The sequence below is a fragment of the Homo sapiens genome, chromosome 20 (genome assembly GCF_000001405.40).
Source record: "Homo sapiens chromosome 20, GRCh38.p14 Primary Assembly".
In the NCBI taxonomy this organism is placed as follows: domain Eukaryota; kingdom Metazoa; phylum Chordata; class Mammalia; order Primates; family Hominidae; genus Homo; species Homo sapiens.
In genome coordinates, this window is record NC_000020.11 from 59,161,481 (window position 1) to 59,184,702 (window position 23,222).

The following is a 23,222-nucleotide window of genomic DNA, read 5'->3' on the forward strand; positions in this document are numbered from 1 at the left end:
GTTGGCCAGGCTAGTCTCAAACTCCTGGCCTCAAGTGATCCGCCTGCCTTGGCCTCCCAAAGTGCTGGGATTACAGGCATGGGATTACATGTTGCTGCATGGATACATGATTTTATTATTTTTATGGCTTTGTATATTCCGTGGTGTATATATGCCACTTTTTCTTCATCCAGTCTACCGTTGACAGGCACCCAGGTTGATTCCATGCCTTTGCTATTTGTGAATAGTGCTGTGATAAACATACGAGTGCAGGTGTCTTTTTGGTAGAATGATTTATCTTCCTTTGGGTAGATACCCAGTAATGAGATTGCTGGGTCGAATGGTAGTTCTACTTTTAGTCCTTTAAGAAATATCCAAACTGTTTTCCACAGGGGTTGAACTAATTTACATTCCCACCAACAATGTGTGAGTGTTCCCTTTTTTTTCTGCAACCTCACCAACATCTGTTATTTTTTGACTTTTTAGTCATAGCCATTCTGACTGCTGTGAGATGGTATCTCATTGTGGTTTTGATTTGCATTTCTCTGATAATCAGAGATGATGAGCATTTTTAAAATATGCTTGTTGGCTGCTTGCATGTCTTCTTTTGAGAAGTGTCTCTTCATGACCTTTGCTCACTTTTTAATGGTTTTGTTGTTGTTTGTTTAAGTTCCTTATAGATTCTGAATATTAGACCTCTGTTGGCTGCATAGTTTGCAAATCGTTTCTCCCATTCCATAGGTTGTCTGTTTACATTGTTGATTATTTCTTTTGCTACATAGAAACACTTTGGTTTAATTAGGTACCAGTTGTCAATATTTATTTTTGTTGCATTTGCTTTTGAGGACTTAGTCTTAAATTCTTTGTCTAGGCTGACATTCAGAAGAGTATTTCCTTGGTTTTCTTGTAGGATTTTTATAGTTTGAAGTCTTACATTTAAGTATTTAATTCATTTTGGGTTAATTTTTGTATATATTGAGAGGTAAGAGTCCAGTTTCATTCTGGAATTAGAGTGGCACTAATCACTCTATTCAACATTCTTCTGCATATGGTTAGCTAGTTTCCCCAGCACCATTTATTGAATAGGGGGTCCTTTCTTTCACTGTTTATTTTTGTTGACTTTGTTGAAAATCAGTTGGTTTTAGGTGTGCAGCTTTATTTCTGGGTTCTCTATTCTGTTCCATTGGTCTGTGTGTCTATTTTTATACCAATACCATGCTGTGTTGGTTATTGTGGCCTTGTAGTATAGTTTGAAGTCAGATAATGTGATGCCTCTGGCTTTGTTATTTTTGCTTAGGATTGCTTTGGCTATTCGGGCTCCTTTTTGGTTCCATATGAATTCTGGAATAGTTTTTTTCTAATTCTGTGAAAAATGACATTGGTAATTTGATAGGAATAGTGTTGAATTGCTTTGAGCAGTATGGACATTTTAATGATATTGAGTCTTATAATCCATGAGCATGGAGTGTTTTATCATTTGTTTGTTTTCTTTCAGTAGTATTTTGTAGTTCTCCTTGTAGAGATCTTTCACCTCCTTGGTTAGATGTATTCCTAGGTGTGTGTGTGTGTGTGTGTGTGTGTGTGTGTGTGTGTTGCTATTGTAAATGGGATTGTGTTCTTGATTTGGCTCTCGGCTTGAACATTACTGGTGTATAGAAATGCTACTGATTTTTGTACATTGATTTTTGTATCCTTAAACTACTGAAGTCATTCATTGGGTCTAGGAGTCTTTTGGTGGCAACTTTAGGGTTTTCTAGATATAGAATCATATCATCAGTGAAGAGAGATAACTTGACTTCCTCTTTTCCTATTTGGATGCCTTTTATTTCTTTCTCTTGCCTGATTGCTCTGGCTAGGATTTTCAGTACTATGTTGAATAGAGTGATCAGTGCCATATCTTAAAAATAAAACCTAATTCAAACAAATCCATGTTGAACAAAATATCACCATTTTACATAAAGACAGCATCGCAGAAATCTTTCACTGGGACCTCCCACCATAGTCAATTGCAGTGGAAATGCTCATTCTGGGCCCTCAGGAACCTCTGGGGTTACATGTGGAGGTTCTGCAAACACTTGTTCCATCCACATCTCCAGGAAAACGACCACCTAGGCTCTAATTCTTAAACTTGCCTGCACAGAACAACCTCATCTCTAATGCAATGTTTTTTTGCACACCTACATTTCTGGGCAGCAAGCTCTTTATAGGTTGTTAGGTCAATAGTAACAATTACTAAAGAGCTGAGCGGTGGCTCTTTTTTTTTTTTTTTCGTGTCTGCTTCTATCTCTTCCTGTTTTCTAAGGGTTGCTACCGTGACGTTAGGTAATGTATAGGAAATAATTTACTTCCTATTTCTGGGCCATACCAAGTTTTATCTCTGCTTGAGTCTCTTCCAGGTTGCTTGAAATGGTGCTTTTCTCAGTTAAACGTGGACTTGACATAAAGGCCAAGCCACAGGAGGCTGCCCTCTTTTATTTTATTTTATTTTCTAAGGCTCAGGGAGCATCTCTCCGTTCTCTGAGATGCTGCCTGCAGAGTAGGAACTGGGAGAGAACACTAAAATGCCCTCTCAGCAAAGAGTAGCGAGCTCCCTACAGAGAGTGAGAGCACGGGCTCTTGAGCTCATCTCTTCTCTGTGGGGCCAGCCCAGTGGTCCTTTCTGGACCTGTGGGTGTCTTCTCTGGGCAACCAGATCATTGTGTTTGAATCAGAGCATCATTGGCTGAAAACACTCCACTGTTTATAAAGGTATGTAACATGCTCCATGACATAAGCATATATAAAATGTCAGTTAAAAAAAAACTCTTTTACTCTATGTTCTTAATGATATATTTATCTTCAAGCACGCAGTTAAAGGGAAAATGCTACGTAAAACTGTGTGTGACCCAGTTCAAGTAATTCTCTCATGTGCTTAATACTGCTGTTGCTTTTGTCAAAATATTTACTACAATTCAAAATGGCTGTCAGAAACCAGGTCCACAATCCATGTTCTACTAAACAGAAAAACATTTATAAGAAAATTTATTGCTTTATAAACTGTTTTTTTTCCCAGTGATGAACCTAATTAAACTGAAAGTGTGAATTGGTTAGAACATATTAGCCCAAGTATGTGTGGTATATATATACACATATATATGTATGTTTTATTAGGCCAAGTTTTTTATTTGTATATAATATAATTGAAATATCAAGGTATTTGATAGAGCTACTATTTATAGCAATTCTACTGATCAGCCACCCAAGGGTAGCATTTTTCAATGAGATTTACAAGGGCCAATAGTCCATGTATTTATACACATATCTGACTTCCCAGTATCCAAAATAGCAAAGAGCTGGAGGCTATCTCAGATCAGCCATGGAAGCCATGCTCTGAGAGGTAACGTGTTTCTCCTTTCCCGTAGCAAATCTTTCTGTAAGAATGAAACCAGAGATGTTATCTACCAAAATGCAACGAGGGACAGGATGCAACTTAGAAAAATGGTAACATTAGCTGACTGGGAAAAACAGAATCAACGTCAGGGCCAGTTTAAAATAATATGCCTTTTAACCACCCTCGCTTTATTGCCCCAGCTAAGAGCAAGTATTTAGGACCATAGGCTAATATTAATCAGAGAGAACACTTAGGTTCTGTGGCAATGTTGGGGTCTGTGAGATTTGCTTCCTTAGCTGTGCTTCCGCTGGGAAGCTGGGGAGGGTTGGTCCTGAAGGAGGAGTGCCATGTGAGCAGGGTTACCCAAAAGCACCTGCCTAGGGGAAATGGGCTCACTATCAGGCGCCGTGGAGTTACCAGCTAGAGAGACTTTTCTCCTGGTAGAGACCATGAACATCATGTAAGCAGAGAACCAAGACTGTAAAAGGGAGGTAGGGTAGGCTGTTTGGTTAGGGGAGTGGGGCAGGAACAGACACAGGGAGAGTCTACCACGTCTGGACAAATCACATCTATGGTTTTATCCAATCCTTTGAACAAATGAACATGAGCCCCACTTTTCAGATAAGGAAAACACAGCATGGAGAGTTTAAGTGACTTATTCCAGGTTACAGGGTTTATAGGTAGCAGAGCAAAGGTTCAAAGACAGGTCTTATCTCCAGGGTCTGGGAACTTTACCCACCATGCTGCCTGTCTGGGTGTGGCATGGCAGGGAAGGCTGAGTTATGCTGGAAGGTCACACTCAGGGATTTCTGCAGAGTGACTTTGGGGCATAGGTAGGAAGCTTGTTCTCAGTACTGGCTTGTTACCAAGTGAGAGATCTTTGTATGTTTTCATTGCTTTCCTTGTAGTTCCTTTTTTTTTCTTCTTTTTTTCTTTTTTGGAGCTGTAATCTCGCTCTGTCACCCAGGTTGGAGTGCAGTGGCATGATCAGCTCACTACAACCTCTACCTTCTGGGTTAAAGCGATTCTTCTGCCTCAGCCTCCTGAGTAGCTGGGATTATAGGTGCTCACCACCACAACTGGCTAATTTTTTTGTATTTTTAGTAGAGAAGGGGTTTCGCCATTTTGGCTAGGCTGGTCTCTAACGCTTGACCTCAGGTGATCTATCTGCCTCGGCCTCCCAAAGTGCTGAGATTACAGGCGTGAGCTACCACACCCAGCCCCTTGTAGTTTCTTTATGATCACTTTGTATTCATAGCAATGTTGGAGCTTTTCCAGATATGGTAAATGGTAGTGATGTCAATTTTCCTTTGAATATATAAGGGTACATAAGAAAAAGTGAGTTGATATAAAGAAAATGAAAGGAAAATGGTCTGTGCAGAGTCGGTGTTTCTCCAAGGGTAGGCTGTGGTACTCGTGGCTAGGGTCGGTTCTAGATACACTATGGATGCTGCAGTAAATAACATTGACTCACACACTGGGAAGGTTGTTCCTGTTTTGATTCTATTTACGTATTTATTACTTTCATAAATTAGCCTCTTTGTTTTGAGAACATTGCAGATTCACCTGCAGTTGTAAGAAAAAAATACAGAGAGATCCCATGTGTTTTTTACCCAGTTTCCTCCAATAGCAACATCTTGCAAATCACAATCAAAATATTGACAGTGATATAGTCAAGATACAGAACATTTCTGTCACCGCAAGGATGCGTCGTGGACACCCCAAATCCCTCCTGCTCTCCTCCTCTCTCTCTCCCCCCCAACCCCTTAACCCCAAGCAATCACTAGTCTGTCCTCCAGTTTTATAATTTGTCATTTCAAGAATGTTATATGAATGGAATCATTCAGTGTGGTGTGTAGCCTTTGGGGACTGACTTTTTTCATTCAGCATAATTCTCTAGAGATTCATCCAAATGTTTCATGTGTCAACGGTATGCTTCTTTTTATTGCTCAGTAGTGTTCTGTGATATGGATGTACCACAGTTGGTTTAAATATTCATTGTTGAAGGGCATCTGGGCTGATGCCAATTTTTGACTATTACAAATAAAGCTTTAGAAACATTCATGTACAAGCTTTTGTGTGAACGTAAGTTTTCATTGTGAAATAAATGCCCAGGAGTGCAGTTGCTGGGTTGAATAATAGTCCCATGTTTGATTTGTTAAGAAATGGCCACCCTTTTTTCCAGAATGGCTGTGCCACTTCACATCCACACCGAAATGGATCCTGGCAACGTGGGCAGTGTTTCCAGATCCTCGCCAGCATTTGCTGTTTCACTATTTTTTATTCTAGCCATTCTGACAGGTGTGAAGTGATATTTTATTGTGGCTTTAATTTATATTTCCCAGGTGGCTAAAGATGTTGAACACCTTTTCGTGTGCTTATCTGCTGGCTGTATACCGTTTTTGGTGATAACTTGCTTCATGTGTTTGCACACTTTCTAATTGGATTGTTGTTGGTTTTTTTTTAACTGTTAAATTTTCATAGTTCTGTATAGATTTTAAATATAAGTCCCTTGTCAGATATGTTGTTTGTGAATACTTTCTCCAGATCTGTAGCTAGTTTTTTATTCTCTTATTATAAGCAGGGGTTTGCACAGAGCAAAAAAAAAAAAATTAACTTCGATGAGGTCCATTTTATTATATTTTCCTTTTATGGCTCATACTTTTTGTTTCAAGTCTAGGAACTCTTTCCCACTTTAGAAGTCCTAAAGATTTTCTCCTGTGCTTTTTTTCCCCTAAGCTTTTACAGTTTTATATTTCACATTTAAGACTGTTTTAAATATTTTGAGTTAATTTCTATATAAGTAAGATGTGAGGTTTAGGTCAAGGTTTTTTTTTTCTTTTTTCTTTTGCCTGCGGAAGTCAATTGTTTCAGCATCATTTGTTGAAACATCTACACTCTCTCTACAGAACTGCTTTCAACCTTTGTCAAAAAATCAGTTGGCTGAGGCAGGAGAATTGCTTGAACCCAGGAGGCAGAGGTTGCACTGAGCTGAGATCGTGCCACTGCACTCCAGCCTGGGTGACAGAGCAAGACTCCATCTCAAAAGAAAAAAAAATCAGTTGGGTATATTTGTGCAGATTGATTTATGTTTTTTTTTTTAATTATTTTGTTCTACTCATGTCTGTGTCTATTCTGACAATACAGTCTTGATTACTTTGGCTATATAATAAGTTATCAAGTTAGGTAGACTGATTCTTTACACTTTATTATCTTTCTTCAAACTTGTTTGAGTTATTCCAGTTCTTTTGCCTTTCTATATAAATTTTAGAATAATCTTGTCTATGCCCACAAAAATATCTTACTAGGGTTTTGATAGGAATTGCATTAAACCTGTATATCAATTTAGGGAGAATTGACATTTTTACTATGTTGAATCTTCCAATGCATGAACACAATATGCCTCTTTATTATTTAGACTTTATTTGAGTTAGTTCATCAGTGTTTTGTAGTTTTCAGTGCGTAAGTCTTGTACATGTTTTATTAGATTTACAACTACATATTTCGTTTTTCATTTAATTTTGGTTTTCAACCATTCATAGCTAGTATATAGAAATGTAATTGACTTTTGTGTGTTGATCTTGTATCCTGTGTCCTTGCTGCACTCACTTATTAGTGCGAGGAGGTTTTTTTTTTTTTTTTTTTGTAGATTCTTTGAGAATTTGTATGTAGACAATAATCTCATCTGCAAGTAGGGATAGTTTTATTTTTTCATTTCCTGCTTGCAAGTCTTTCCTTTCCCTGTATTTTGTATTTCTTTCTTGCTTTATTTTACTGGCTAAAACTTTCAGTCATCTTCTGAATGAGAGTGATGAGAGTGGACATCTTTCTTTTTCCTGATCTTAGGGAGAAAACATTCAGTTTTTCACCGTTAAGTATAATGTAAACTTTGGTGTTTTGTAGATGCTTTTAATCACATTAAGAGATTTCCGTCTATTTCTATTTTCCAACGAGATTTTATTATGAATGGGTGTTGAATTTTGTCAAAAGCGTTTTCTACATCAATTGATATAATTATGTGATTTTTCTTTTTACCCTGTTAATATGGTGGATTATACTGAATGCATTCCTGGAATCCTTGTTCAAGGTGTATAATTTTTTTCTTATCACAGAATTCTATTTGCTGATATTTTGGGAGAGGTTTTGAGTCTGTGTTCATGAGGGATATTCGTCTGTAGTTGTCTTTTCATGCTGTCTTTGTCTAGTTTGGTCGCAGGGTAATACCTAGGTGCTTAAAATTAACTGGGAAGTGTTATTTCCTTTTCTGTTTTCCGGATAAAGTTGCGTCGAATTTGTGTTAATTCTTCTTTTAAAGTTAGAATTCTCCACATCAGGGCCTGGAGACTTCTTAGCAGGGAGCTTCAAAATTGCAAATTCAATCTGATAAATAGTTATAGTGTGATTCTCATGTGATTCAAATGATCTGTTTCCCATTAGGTGGATCATGGTAGTTTGCGCTTTTTGAGGAATTGGTCCACTTCATCTAAGTCATCAAATTTATGTGAGCTGAGTTATTTACGGTATTCCCTTAAGGTCATTTTAATGTCTGCAGGGTCTGTAGTGATAGCCCATTTTCCTTCCTGACATTGATAGTTTGTGTCTTCTCTCATTTGTCCTTTGTCAGTTTTTGTAGAGATTCTAAAGACCAATTTTAGGCTGGGCACAGTGGCTCATGCCTATAATCCCAGCACTTTGGGAGGCTGAGATGGGTGGATCACTTGAGGCCAGGAGTTCGAAACCAGCCTGGCCAACGTGGTGAAATCCTGTCTCTACTAAAAATACAAAAATTAGCCCGGTGTGGTGGTGCGCACCTGTAATCCCAGCATGTTGCAAGCTGAGGCAGGAGGATCAGTTGAGGTCAGGAGTTTGAGACCAGCCTGGCCAACATGATGAAACCCTATCTCTACTAAAAATACAAAAATTAGCCGGGCATGATGGCAGACACCTGTAATCCCAGCTACTCGGGAGGCTGAGGCAGGAGAATGTTTTGAACCCAGGAGGCAGAGGTTGCAGTGAGCCAAGATCATGCCACTTCACTCTAGCCTGGGCAATAGAGCAAGACTCTGTCTCAAAAAAAAAAGGTGAATTTTATTAATCTTGTCCAAGAAAAAGCTCTTTCTTTCATTGATTTTCTCTATTATTTTTCTGTTTTGATTTGACCTATTTCTTCTCCTACCTTTATTATCTCCTTTCTTCCGCTTGCTCTGGATTTATTATGCTTTCCTTTTACTACAGTCAAGTGGGAGTCTAGAGTCTTGATTTGAAACCCTCCCTCTTTTTCTTTTTCTTTTTAAACAATTAATAGCAGTTTATTTTAAAACATTTTTGTGGGTACATAGTAGGTGTATATATTTGTGGGGTACATGAAATGTTTTGATACAGGCATGCAGTGTGAAATCATCACACTGTGGGAAATGCTCCTCTTTTCTAATGTAAACATTTAGTGCTATAAATTTCCCTCCCAGCACTGCTTTAGCTATGTGCCACAAATTTTGAGATGTATTTTTGTTTTCACACGTCAGTGTATTTTTTGATTACCCTGGGGGCTTCCTCTTTGACCCATGGATTATTTAGAACTGTGTGCCATTTTGTTTTCAAGTATATGAAGCTGTCCTGTTATCTTTCTGTTGTTGATTCATAGTTTGATTCCGTTGTCGTCAGAGAACATGCTTTGTATGATTTTAATTCTTTAAATTTGTTGAGGTTGATTTTATGGCCTGGAATGTGGTCTATCTTGATGTAGCAGTCTGGGTCCAATCAGGAAGTAGGAGCCATACAATAGGCTAAATGAGAGAAGCTGATGATAAGAATTACTAACTATAATGAAGAGGGACTATAAGACATAAGGGAACTCCATGTGGCACCCTAGGATTGAGATTCAGCTTCTCAACTGAAAGAGACAGCTTCCATTTCTCCCAGCAAGGACACACGTGGAAGGAGTCAGACCTCCCTGGAAGAGATGTGATTTGCCCACTGGATAGCAGAGGAGTTGGCTGGCTTAGCAAGACTGAAGCTTATCTGGAGTTGCTGGGCAAACAATGGGCAACTTTCTGGAGTACAGGTGGGAGGTGGCAGGCAATCTACAACCAGAGACGTGGGTGTGTTATGGGAGTCTGGCACTAGTGGGACAGAAGTCTCCAGAGCTCCCAGAAAGACAGTGTGCCGGCTGTGTGGTTGCAGAAGGAGCAGATCCATGTGAACCCCCCAGCCACAGGCAGGCTGTGCAACAGCTTTGGTTTTTATGTTGTGGGGGCTGCAGACAGATTACTGCTGGGCTGAGGCTGCAAGGTTGCAGAGGGAGTGAGTCCTGGGGCCTGTGGCTGGGAGGGGGAACTCCATGGCATGTCCTCATACCCACACCACTGGCCCTCTCGTGGGCCCCTCCTGGAAACTGCAGGAAGCCTCTTCCTCCTGCAATGACCCTCCAACATCCTCTGTTGGAAAAACTTAGCACTGTGTCCACTTTAAAGGAGAAAATCTTTAAAAGTTTGCATCCCTTATCATACAGCATGTATTGAATGGCATTTTTTGGAGCTGAGAGGCAATAAATTTCTATCTGGCACAGTCTATCCCTTTGCCTGTGCAGCCCCATGTGTACCCTTTACATGCATGTGAACTTTCTTACAACAGAATGGCTCTGTATTTCCACCTAACAAGATACATCCATGCTTCTAGCAAGTGAAGAGGTTCTCACTTGTTCGAAATGAGCAGATGCAGTCATTGTACTCAGCACAGGCTGTATCAATTGCTCTTCAAATTCAGTCAAGCTCTCACTGAATATTCTGTTCCCTAAAGCCTAAATTGTAAAGTTAACTTCCAATAACTCATATATAAAAATTTAAAACATGAAGTAGGAGAAAGAAGTAGAGAATGATTAGTAAAGATAAAATAAAACTCATTCATATAACACACATAGAGACCATACACAAACCCCCTCCAGTCCTCGTTTATATAATTGATCATGAAGTTGTAGTTCATATCTGTGACTTTCTTCTTCCACCACCCATTCCACATCTTCCTTGACCTCAGCTGCCCTGGGTTCTTTACCTCTTGGAATATCTACTAACTCCTGAAAAGTATGAGTATGTACTTTTCTCCCAAATTGCAGTTGTTCCACTATGTGGCAACAGGTCCCTTTGAGAAGGCATAAAGAAAGATTTACAGTGTATCCTTTTGGCAATAGTAGAGTGTCCTTTTCAAGGGGACCTGGCTTTCCCTTCAATCAAGGGCCTGTAGGTCTGCAAACTGCCTTAGTTCTGAAAACTGGGTAAAGGGCCGTGAGTCTCCATTTGATGACTGAGTCACGTTACTTGCCACCACACTTAGGACTTTTCCTATGATTTCCTATGATATCATAGTAGACTGACTGGTCTTTCCCTCCGAGGGACAACGTGATCAGTTAGTTACTGCTAAGATCTCTGCGAGCCAAAGAATTCGGATTCCTGCCATTCCCTGTTGCTCCCGTGGCACGCTCACCTTCTCTTTGGCAATGAAGTGATGCCACTTGGTCCTCTGCTATTCTGGGACCCCCCAACAACCACAGTGAAATGAGGGAGCCTGTCTCAATAGTGGTGTCCCCTACAGCTCTTCCTGGCCTGGAAAAAGAGCAACCACAGATCTTTTCGGGGATGCGGATGCTCCCCTCATTAATGCATTTCTCAGCGCCCTCCTGAAGAGGGGCCTTCTGGGTCTTCTTGAGGCATGCCGCTGGGAGAGTTGGAGGTTGCCTGTGATACACCCGGCCCAGCAGGCATATTTCCCATAGTCTTTAGAGCCCCTCCTCTGTGTCATGCCAGGGAAGCTCCAGCATTCCGGCCTCACTAAATGCAGGTCACCATCATTTCCAGATTTCAGTCAACCAACCTAGGAAGCTGTTAAAGCCACATCCAGCTGCACAACTAATACACTAAATTGAGACTCTCTGGTAAGTGCACTCCTGTCAATGAATTTGGTCCAATGGCTGGTGGTGTTTTCTGCCCTCCTTGGTATAAACCCACAGAATCCATTTGCACACACATGTTCCCTAGGATTCTGCTGACATATTAGCCAGGGCGTTCAGCTCTTCTGGTGTGTGAGCCATTTCCTTCTGGGTCATAGTGAGCACCTGTCTCCTTGGGCCATGCTGAGATTTGACTCAGTTAAATCTAGTTAAGTCTAGAGGGAGCAGGGGCTTGTTGTGGTGGGTTCTGAGAAGGATCAGTATTCCCTTTCAAGGCATCTACCCTAAGTGAAGGCATCATAAGGTTTTCCAGCTCAGGAAGTCTGGCCTCTGTGGACAGTGGAGGGGAAGCTGCTGCCACTTGTACGGGAGGCTCAGAATGACCTGGAGGTCAATGTTGTCAGTTTCTCTAGGTCCAACAAGATGTCCTCACCTCGAGTTTTAGGATCCCCTTTTTTCCTGATTAGTGCCCAAATTTTCACATGAGAAGCTTGGCATGACTGTGAATTCAACTGCCATTTTAATTCAGTAACTTGCACCATTAATTTTTTTGTTTGATTTTCAGCAACATCAGCCCTGTGGCTACAAAAATGAGACATTCTTTGAGGGCTGTCATGGAGGCTGTGTGATCCTCAGATCATGACTCAAGGTGGGAATTAATGGACCTGAGCTTGTCATTTTCTCTCTGTAAGTGCTCAAGGACGCGAAAAGAAATCCATTTCATACCACATCCCTTATGGTCATCATTCCTGCCATACAGCAGGAGCAGAAGCCACTTGAGCTTCCAAGGCACATGTTCTAAATTGGCACTTTGCCGCAATTGACCACAGGTGATGGCTTTATTAATTGTGATGCTTTTGTACCTCACAGGTTACAAGAGTCACATTTCTCATTGTCAAGGAGCTCAACACTGTGCTCACATCCAAAAGCACAACCACACTAGTCCCTAAATCCCATCATTAGGGATCTCTTGGGACCATTCCCAGAGACAATTCTGTAGACTTCTGTGCCCAGTCAGAAGACAGAAACCACCCAGTGGGTTATGCAGGGGAAACTTGGCGTAGGAATGATTAGTTACAATGAAAGAGTGACTATTAGGTACAAGGAAACTCTATAGGGTACCCTAAGATTGAGGGAGAGTACTCAAGAAACAACACACTTGGAAGGCATTCAGGTCTCATTGGAGAAGCTGTGATTTTAGCCACCAGAAAGCAGAGAAGTTGGCTGATTCAGCTAGACTTGAGATTGTGTGGAGTTGCTAGGCAAACAGCTGACAACCCTCTGGGGTGCTGCTGGATAGCAGACCATGCACAAGCAGAGATGTGGGCATGCATCTGGGAGCCTGGGCACAGCAGGACAGAAGGCTTTGGAGCTTGTGGCATGCATAGAGGAAGTGGGGCTTGCAGAGGAAACGGCCACTGTGTGTGGACTCCTGGCCACGGGAGGCTAGCTGGCTTTACGCGGCTTTAGTTTCCCTGTCTGGAAGGCTGCAGATGGATTATCCCTGATCCAAGGCTGTAGGCTGCACAGGGAGCACTTTTGCAGCCTGCGGTTCAGGCTGGTTCTCTCAGATACCACCGCATAATGGTTGCTCTAGGTATTACATTTTATATATATGGAACTTATCATAGTCTGCTGGTGTCGTTATTTTACCAGTTGGAGTGAAGAGTAGAAATCTCACCTCCATTTATGCCCTCACATTTAGAATTATCTTAAATATTTCCTTTACATACATTTAGAACCATATCAGACAGTGTTATAATTTTTGTTTCAGCCACCAAACATGATTAAGAAAACTTGCTCGGGAGTGTTGGCTCATGCCTGTAATCCCAGGACTTTGGGATGCCAAGGCAGGAGGATTGCTTGAGCCCAGGAGGTTGAGGCTGCAGTGATCCATGTACGCACCACTGATCAATGTATGTGCACTCCAGCCTGGGTGACAAAGCAAGACCCTGTCTCAAAAACAAAAAAAACAAAAAACAAAACAAACAAAAAAACACCCCAAAACAAAAAAGAAAAACTCAAAAGGGAATGTTTTTACCCACTTTTTTACTGTTTCCATTGTTCTTTTTTCCTTCCTGATGTTCCAAGTTTCTCTTTTTGTTACATCCTTTCTGTTTAGAGAACTTTCATTCTTTGAGGGTGGGCCTGCTGGTGACAGATTCTATTTGTTTTCATTTATTTGCGAATATCTTGATTTCCCCTTCATTCCAGGAGGATATTTTCACCGGATATAAAATTTTGGGCTGACACTTCCTTTCCATCAGCTCTTGAAAAATGTGATACCCTTTTCTACTTGCCTCCAAGTTTCTGATGAGAACCTGCTTTCATTAGAATTGTTTTTTCTGTAGCTAAGGCATTGTTTCTCACTTGCTTCTTTCAATATTTTTTATCTTTAGAGTTCAGGAGTTTGACTATGACGTGCTTTGGTGTGGATTTCTTTGGGTTTATCCTGGTGGTGGGGGTGGGGGTGGGTGGTTCTCTCAGCTTCCTGAACTTGTAGCTTTATGTCTTCTGCCAAATTGAAGCTCCTGAACATTATTTGAGCACTTTTTAAGCTCATCTTCTTTCTCTTCTCCTTCCCAGGCTCTGATGATAGGAATATTAGACCTTTTGTTAGTGCCATGGGTCCCTGAGGCTGTTCATTTTTTTTTTATTTTTTTTAATTTTCATCCTGTTTTCTCTCTGTTGCTCAGATTGGGTAATTTCCATTGTCCTATCTTCAAGTTCACCGATTCTTTTTTTCTGTCCTGTCCATTTTGCTGTTGAGGGCATCCACTGAGTTTTTACATTTTTGATTATAGTATTTTTCATTTCTATTATTTCCATGTAGTTCTTCTTTTATCTTCTATGTCTTTGCTGGGGCTTTCTATGTTTCCTTTGTTTCAAGCATATTTGTAAGTGTTCATGGGAACATTTTCATGATGGCTGCTTCATAGCTGTCAGGGAATCCCAGCACCTCTTGCATATTGGTGTTGGCATCTGTGCATTGTCTTTTTCCTTTCAGTTTGAGGTCTTCTTGGTTCGTGGTATGACAAATGATTTTTAATTGAGACTTGGACATTTTGGGCATTATGGTATGAGAGTCTGGGTTTAGTGACCCTTCTGTGTTAGCTGGCTTCCTTTGCTACTGCTCTGACTGGGGAAGAGATGAGTGGAAGTTGAGGTTCCCTACTCAGCCTCTGTTGGTACTCATTGGGAAGGCCCTGTTACCTCCTGGGAAGGATAGTAGCACTGGCTTTCTGCCAGGCCTTTACTGACATTTCCCTGTCTGGAAGAGCTAGGAATGCCTTATTATTGCCTCCCACAGAAAGAGGGAGTGGATTAACACACTGTGGCACACCCACACCGTAAAACAGGACTTGGCAAGGAAAAGGAATGAATGATTGGAGCACACAACAGCTTGGATGGCTCTCAAAGGTATTGTCCTGAATGAAAGAAGCTGGACCAAAAAAGCCGCATAATATGTGGTTGCATTTATAGGACATTCTGGAAAAGACAAACTTATAGGGACAGAAAACAGATCTGTGGTTGCCAGAGGCTGGAGGTGGAGGAAGGGATTGACCAGAGAGGGAGGCATGATTTGGGGATGTGATGGCCTTCTTGATTATGTTGGTTGTTACACGACTGTATTTACTTGTCAAAATTCACAGAACTGTACACTAAAGAGGGTGCATTTTACTGTATGTAAATTGTACCTTAATTAAAAAAATACATCCCATTGAGAGATGGAGAAATTTGAGGAACATGATCTCTTGCCACCTGTCAGTCTGCAGCCATAGAATCATGTTGGGTCCTAACTGACATACCTTTTCTGAGTAACCCCCCTAGACCCACTGTAACACGCATGTGTATTTCGCTTTAGTGCGTACATTATGTCCATTTATAAAGAGTGCCTATCCATACCTTGTAGTTCTGACATGGGCAGTTTAAGAGGTAGGGTTAACTCATATAATATTCTGAATCACGTCAGTATTTGGGACGCTTCTTCCTACCCTTTATTTGAATTCAGCACTGCATCTGTTTGCTATTTTCCTGGATAATTATTGTAATTATATAAAAGAATAACCATCATCAATACAATATTCTGAATTCATTATTTCACATCCTAAACAAATCTGTTGATAGCCTGCTAGGCAATCACGAATCGTGGTGCTATGTAACATTTTATTTTGTGTTCTAAGCCACGAGGAATCAAGATAAACCTCCAACACAGCCAGGCCCATACTGGAAAGATCTGCCCTTGGCACACAACAGCCAGCAGAGGTCACCTTCCAAGTGGCCCTCAGTGGTGGAAGGAGAGCAGTTCTGGATGGCAGTTCTCATCCTTGTGCTGGCCTTGTCTTCTGTCCAGCAATAAAGCTTTAGGCTTTGCTTTCTCCATTTGCCGTGGAGGAGAGTAACAGTCACAGCAGTAATCAAGACAGGCGTCTTGTCATTTAATTAAGCATGGCATCCCTAGTATCCATAATTTCAGGTCATTAGGTACCCAGACATTGTTCTCTCCATTTTGCAGATGAGGAAACAAAAGCCCAGGGAAATAGTATACTTGCCCAGAAAGAATTTAAAAAAATATTGTTGAGCAGGCTAGCGTCTGTGGGTGCAGTTCCTCTGATTCAGTGTGTCATGCCGCAAACATGCCAGGCACATTCCCACCTCAGGGCCTTTGCACTGGCTGTTTGCATCCATTGGCCTTTGCATTGCAGGAAACACTCTTACCCCAGGTACCAGCATGGCTCATTCCACCACTAGGTTCCCATGTTAAAACCAGGCAAGTCTAGGACAAACTAGGACGAGTTGGTATACAGTAGACCAGTAAATGAAAGAGCTTGTGTTATGGAGCTGACATTCTTGTTAGGGATGCTCACCTGGCCCATCTCATTTAAAATTGCACTCTTCCCTCACTGGCTGGACGAGGACGGTCTCTCCTGGGATTGCTTGGCTCAGCTCCACATGGTCGCTCATCCTCCTGGGAGCTCATCTGGGCTTGTTCTCATGGCAGAAGCAGAGCAGAAGCGTGCAAGCTTCTTGGGACCTAGGCACACCATCCCTAATGTGACACGATGTTGCCTGGAGTTGAGGAGTGGAGAAAAAGTCTCCAGATCTTGATGGGAGGAGTAGCAAAGTGCCCTTGCAGAAGCCACAGAAACAGAAAGGTGTGAAGAAGCGAGGCTGTTTTTCCGATCTGCTCACAGTACTTCTCAGTACCTCCAACTCAGCCAGTTTTTCTTTTGGTTTTGAATTTTGTCTTATTTCCTGGTTTAATCAACAGATGCGGCGAGAAGCTTGTATTTTTGGCACATGTTGTACCAAAAATACTGGAAACACTGGAGTCGTGTTTAGCAGTAGCTGTGAGGGCCATGTGGGGCTGAGCCTGCTTGAGGGAACCAGGGCTTCAAGCCCCCTCCTTTCACTTGGGCATTATGAGTTGACAGCTAGGAGCATTACCAAGTGGTGGAAATTGTTATTTTCTTATGCAGCCTGTGAGGTTGAATTCAAGTGAATTAAATTTGCACGTTAAGGGACTCTGCTGTATAAACCTTTGGGAATTTCTGAGAAGTAGACCAGAACAGCATGGTTTGGCTCAAGTAAGTGAGGAACCTCTTCAGAGGAGTTTCACATAAAAATGCCTTCCCTTTTTCTCAAATGTGATAATTTAAGTCAGGCCATTTCTTTATAGTCTTATCTAAGGCTATAATTCATTCACTCAACCAATATTTATTGAACACCTGCTATGTGCCAGGTAGTATACAGGGCCCTGGGCCATCCTGGGTCAGTGATGGATACTATGCAGTCATTCAGTATAATGGTTCAGAAAGAGTCTCATGCCTTGAAAAAAATGTATTAATAACTCACTCTACAACTTGGATATACTAAAAGAAAATATTCCTTTACTTTTCCATAGCTGATCGGATCTTCTCTAAGATCAGTGGGAGTGGAAGAAAAAACATGTATTTATTGATTCCATTAGGCTTTTACTTTGGCCAGGCATGTTTACAGTTCATTTGAGTATCACATGATGCCATGGGGGAGGTGTCAATATTTTTCCATTTTACAAACAAGAAAACCGAGTCCTAGGGAGGCTGTGCAGCTCATCTGAGTCACAGGACTTGGAAATGCATGGTGGGATTTGGGTCGTCCTCCAGAGCCCGCTCTCTTTTAAACACTCTATCAAATAAACACCCAGTCTCCTTATGTCCCCATATGTCGTGTCCTTTTACCCATCCTCCACCCCCAGCATGAAGGACTTGAAGGGCGGGGGGTCCACCCTGGAGCCCTCATTACAGAGCACCTCTTCCCACTAGTTGTCCCCACCCTGGCACACTGTGAGCTCCACGACAGACTCTGTTCATATCATGGGAGGACCACAGTGGCTCAGGACAGTGCAGCCCTGGGGCACCCACTGCCCGACCGTGCCTCACACCAGGTCACACATGGACAGCCTGTGAAGACGACTCTTTATAGAGTCCATCAATGGGAAGTTGGGGGATAGCCCTGGTGTTACCCCCGCTTGTACCTGCTCCTCTCTGGTTGAAGCCTGACCCTCCCACTTGCCTTCCTCCTCCGCACCCATCCGCTTCTCACTACAGTCCAGCGAAGGGCAGAGCTTCCTTTCACATCCTGGATTTGTTTCCTGAGCCTGCAGTAACAAATGACCACACACTGGGGGGCTCACAGCAACAGAATGGATTTTCTCACAGTGCAGGAGACCAGCGGCCTGAAATCAAGGCATCCTTGATTTTTAGAGGGAGGGGCCACCCTCCCTCTAAAGCTCTGGGTGGGAGAGGGCAAGGGAGGGTCCTTCCTGGCCTCTTTCAGTTCCTGGTGGCTCCAGGCATTCCCTGGCTTGTGGCTGGATTTTGCCCCATCTCTGCCTCCGTCCTCGCGTGGGTCTTCGCATGGCCTACCCCCTGGGTCCCTGCATCCTCTCCTTTTCTTATAAGGACACCATCAGTCACTGGATTTAGGGACCCCACTAAATCCAGTGTGATACCATTTTGAGATCCTTAACTTAATGATATCTGCAAAGACCCTATTTCCAAATAAGGTCCCAATCGCAGGTAGTAGGGGCAGGACTTGGATGCTATTTTGGAGAATACGATTCAACCCACCATGCTTCCCTTACATAAAGCTGCCCTCACCTATCAGGCAGCTAGGCCCATATCTTTGCTGTGCCACTGTTAGAGGGGCATCTTCTCTACAGGAGAGTTGTGGGCACAGGTCCTCCCTCCTTGGAGCGTGAAATATTAAACAAAGAGTGAAGGTAATTTTGAAAAACTCTTCACTCTCATAAACAATATCTGGCTTTCTAGACGATCATTTTATTTTATTTTATTTTGAGACAGAGTGTCACTCTCACCCAGGCTGGAGTGCAGTGGTGTGATCCTAGCTCACCGTAGCCTCAACCTCCTCAGTTCAAGCGGTTTTCCCACCTCAACCTCCTGAGTAGCTGGGACCACAGGCGTGTACCACCATGCCTGCCTAATTATTTATTTTTTGTAGAGATGGGGGTCTCACTATGTTGCCCAGGCTGGTCTCAAGCTCCCAGGCTCAAGCACAGATGATCATCTTATGAGAAATCTTTTTTATTTTTTATTTTACTTTAAAAGTTCTGGGATACATGTGCAGAACGTGCAGGCTTGTTACATAGGTATACATGTGCCATGGTGGTTTGCTACACACATCAACTTGTCATCTAGGTTTTAAGCCCTGCATGCGTTAGATATTTGTCCTAATGGTCTCCCTCCCCTTCCCCCCCGGCAACCCCACGACAGGCTCTGGTGTGTGATGTTCCCCTCCCTGTGTACATGTGTTCTCATTGTTCAACTCCCACTTATGAGTGAGAACATGCAGTGTTTGGTTTTCTGTTCCTGTGTTAGTTTGCTGAGAATGATGGCTTCCAGCTTCATCCATGTCCCTGCAAAGGACATGAACTCATTCTTTTTTATGGCTGCATACTATTCCATGGTGTATATGTGCCACATTTTCTTTATCCAGTCTATCACTGATGGGCATTTGGGTTGGTTCCAAGTCTTTGCTATTGTAAATAGTGCTGCAATAAACATATGTGTGAATGTATCTTTATAGTAGAATGATTTATAATCCTTTGGGTATATACCCAGTCATGGGATCGCTGGGTCAAATGGTATTTCTGGTTCCAGATCCTTGAGGAATCGCCACATTGTCTTCCACAATGGTTGAACTAATTTACACTCCCACCAACAGTGTAAAAGCATTCCTATTTCTCCACAGCCTTGTCAGCATGTGTTGTTTCCTGACTTTTTAATAATTGCCATTCTAACTGGCACGAGATGGTATCTCATTGTGGTTTTGATTTGCATTTCTCTAATGACCAGTGATGATGATCTTTTTTTCATATGTTTGTTGGCCGCATAAATTGTTTTCTTTTGAGAAGTATCTGTTCATATCCTTCGCCCACTTTTTGATGGGGTTGTTTTCCTCTTGTAAATTTGTCTAAGTTCCTTGTAGATTCTAGATATTAGACCTTTGTCAGATGAGTAGCTTGCAAAAATTTTCTCCCATTCTGTAGGTTGCCTGTTCACCCTGATGATAGCTTCTGTTGTTGTGCAGAAGCTCTTTAGTTTGATTAGATCCCATTTGTCAATTTTGGCTTTTGTTGCAATTGCTTTTGGTGTTTTAGTCATAAAGTCTTTGCCCATGCCTGTGTCCTGAATGGTATTGCCTAGGTTTTCTTCTAGGGTTTTTATGGTTTTGGGTTTTACATTTAAGTCTTTAATCCATCTTAATTTTTGTATAATGTGTAAGGAAGGGGTCCAGTTTCTGCTTTTTGCATATGGCTAGCCAGTTTTCCCAGCACCATTTAATAAATAGGGAATCCTTTCCCCATTGCTTATTTTTGTCAGGTTTGTCGAAGATCAGATGGTTGTAGATGTGTGGTGTTATTTCTGAGGTCTCTGTTCTGTTCCCTTGGTCTATATATCTGTTTTGGTACCAGTACCATGCTGTTTTGGTTACTGTAGCCTTGTAGTATAGTTTTTCTCATTCTGTGAAGAAAGTCACTGGTAGCTTGATGGGAATAACATTGAATCTATAAATTACTTTGGGCAGTATGGCCATCTTCATGATATTAATTTTTCCTTTCCATGAGCATGGAATGTTTTTCCATTTGTTTGTGTCCTCTCCTATTTCCTTGAGCAGTGGTTTGTAGTTCTCCTTGAAGAGGTCCTTTATGCCAATCTTATTCTGCATGCCAGCCCAGGCTTCCCTGTTCTCTCTGTCTTTCTTCACTGGAAGGAATATACTTCTCAACTCCTTGATCTTGGGTGAATCCCTCCATCTCTCAGCGCCTTATTCCTCTTGTTAGATTAATAACAGCACCTCCCTGCTGCGTGGATTAGATGGCTTAGGGCATGTGTAGACCTTGGGCCTGTGGCCTGGACATGGTGTCACATAAAGGTCAGCTCCCTGTGCTGTGAACCTGCAAAGCTTAGGCAGAAGATGTCTCAGGCAGATCAAGGTAATACTGATGGGCTTGGGAAAAAGAAAAAGAGAAAATTAGCTGAATAATTTTCAGCAGATTTTTCCCATTTTGCATTATGCTGTGATCAGTGCTTATAGGTAGCATCTGTTTAATCCTCGTTATCCACATTTTACAAATGAAAATCCTGAGGTTAGGGAACTTGCTGAGCTTCACAGGGAGGGGGTAAGTGGCAAAACCAGAACTCAAACCCAGGCTTTTTTCTTCTTCCACCAAGAAGACAGGGGACGGGGATGGCTGAGCGCAGCTGGCAGGCCCTCCCTCTTGCCAAAGCCAACCTGACATCAAGCTTCTCCTTCCACACATCTGCAACCGATTGACCATCTACAGGGAAACCACGTAATTTGTGTATGAAAATTAGGCAATTGCAGGGGACACTCCTCTCCTCCAACTTGCCTAAGCTTTCTGCACACTGTGTGTTTGTTTGTAAACTCTCTTCTGGCCTGCTCCTTTATCATAATTGTTTAGGCAAAACATATTTTGTCACTAAACAGAATGAATTTGGGTGAAGTCATAGTGGGAACTAACATGTGTTTGGCCCTGACAGGAAGTGGGCAGCCTCCCCTGCTTTTAGGGAGGCGTTGTTTCTAACCAGCTATTCTCACCCTCAGAGACCCTTCCAGACCCTTCTAGAATCTGACAAAAGTTAGGGCTGCTCTTGCTCTCTGGGAACATTCACCTGCGCACATAAGGTAAGTTGTAATTTCCCTTTGGGTCCTGGCTGGCCTAGATGCACATTCAAGTGGGTGGGCGACTGAGAGGGGTTTCAATGTGGGGCCATTTACCAAGTGTGGGCCTGGTTCTGGGAAGTTGGGGCACCTGAGGGCTGGCAGCAGTGGGGGAGTGTTACCCACTCCAGGCATGAGAGGCCAACGTGGGAACCGTGGTTGGACCTAGAGAGGGCCACCTAACGAAAGTCTGTCCCTGAGTAGAGGGACAAAGGCCACCTTGGAGCCAGGCCTGACCTTACCCTCCTGCCTGGACTTGCCAGCACCTCCCTTTGGGCAAGCCTAGCTGGGTGCTAGTGGACTAGGGAGCATGTTGCTGCAGCCTTGCAGGTACAGGGTCTACACCAAGGGTGTATCAGGTGAAGACTGTAAGTTAGGCAGGTGCTTTTCAAAGTAGAGGACCATACCACTCAGGTGTGCGAGAGCATGCATGGTGGCCTACAGATACATATTTGAAAAATTTTAATAGGTATTTATGTTAATGGTTCGTAGGGAAAATTGATCTTCTCTTTTTGGTGATGATTGATTCAGTATCCCCACCGCCCGCTTTTATGCCCAATTATTACAAGTATTTATTTCTTTTGGCCCCCTCGTTCCTGCAGTAGGCAAAACATGACATCATGGTTTATACCTTGCATTTCTTGGCTGATGAGGATAACTATCTTTTCACATCTCTTTTAAAAAACTGTTTTGATTTAAAACAATTTTCGAAGTTAATAGACAATTTTTAAGAGTAGTTTTAGGTTTGCAGAAAAATGAGGAGAAAGTACAGAGACCTCCCATCCACCTCTTTCAGCCTGTGTCCCCACTGTTTTCCCTGTTGTGAGCATCTTGCAAATGAGGGTGGTGCATTGGTTGCAACTGGTGAACCCACTGAGAGACACCAAAGTCCATAGTCTACACTAGGGTTCTCTCTTGGTATTGCATGTTCCATGAGTTTTGACAAATGTATAGTGGCAAGTATTTGGTATTACAGGATCAGAACAATCCCTTTCACTCCACCCACCTCTTCATCCCCTCCTCCCCCAACCCCTGGCAACCCCTGACCTTTTCACTGTCTCCATAGTTTTGCCTTTTCCAGAAGGTCATACAGTTGGAACCACACAAGACAAAGTCTTTTCAGATTGGCTTCTTTCACTTAGGAACATGCATTTAAGTTTCCTCTCTGTCTTTCTGTGGCTTGCCAGCTTATTTGCTAGCTTATTTCTTTTTATCGATGAATAATATTCCATTGTCTGGATGTGTGTTTACTGATGTTTACTGAAGGACATCTTGCTCACGTCCAGGTTTTTGCAATTACAATGCTGATGTTTACATCAGTGTGCAGGTTTTTGTGTGAATGTCAGTTTTCAACTCACTGGGCAATGATATAGTTCCTCTTCCTCCCTCCCCCCTTTTTTTTTACTTTCTGAAAATTGCGATACAACATACATAAAATATAACACTTTCACCATTGTGAAGCATACAGTTCAGTGGCATGAAGTGCATTCACATTGCATGCATCCCTTTTAAAGCAATGGTGTTCTAGGCATGAGGCTCTACACAGGTAGGGTGGGGACTGAGTAACAGCGTAAGTGGTCCCCATACGTGGCGGAGTGGGTGATGGTGGTCCAGGATGAACGGAAGTTTGGGAAACTTGTAACTACACCAGCCATCTTAGTACCCAAGTTCTATCTGCTAAACGTA

The 23,222-nt window shown here is 42.2% G+C and overlaps 1 protein-coding gene across 12 annotated transcripts in view; it reads left to right on the top strand.

Annotated features, from left to right (window-relative positions):
• ZNF831 (zinc finger protein 831) overlaps positions 1-23,222 on the top strand; it is a 135,726-nt gene that overhangs the window by 38,093 nt on the left and 74,411 nt on the right. The window contains exons 1-2 of one of the 12 annotated variants that reach the window (XM_047439882.1): positions 2,341-2,727; positions 3,381-3,459. The exons of 6 other annotated variants lie outside the window; for them this stretch is intronic. The gene's annotated coding sequence lies outside the window, so the exon portion shown is untranslated. Of the gene's footprint in view, positions 1-2,340; positions 3,460-8,381; positions 11,274-11,853; positions 11,938-21,429; positions 21,501-23,222 lie in introns of those variants that run through there. 5 more of the 12 variants (XM_011528537.3, XM_005260273.4, XM_011528536.3 and 2 more) reach the window with 5 other exon arrangements.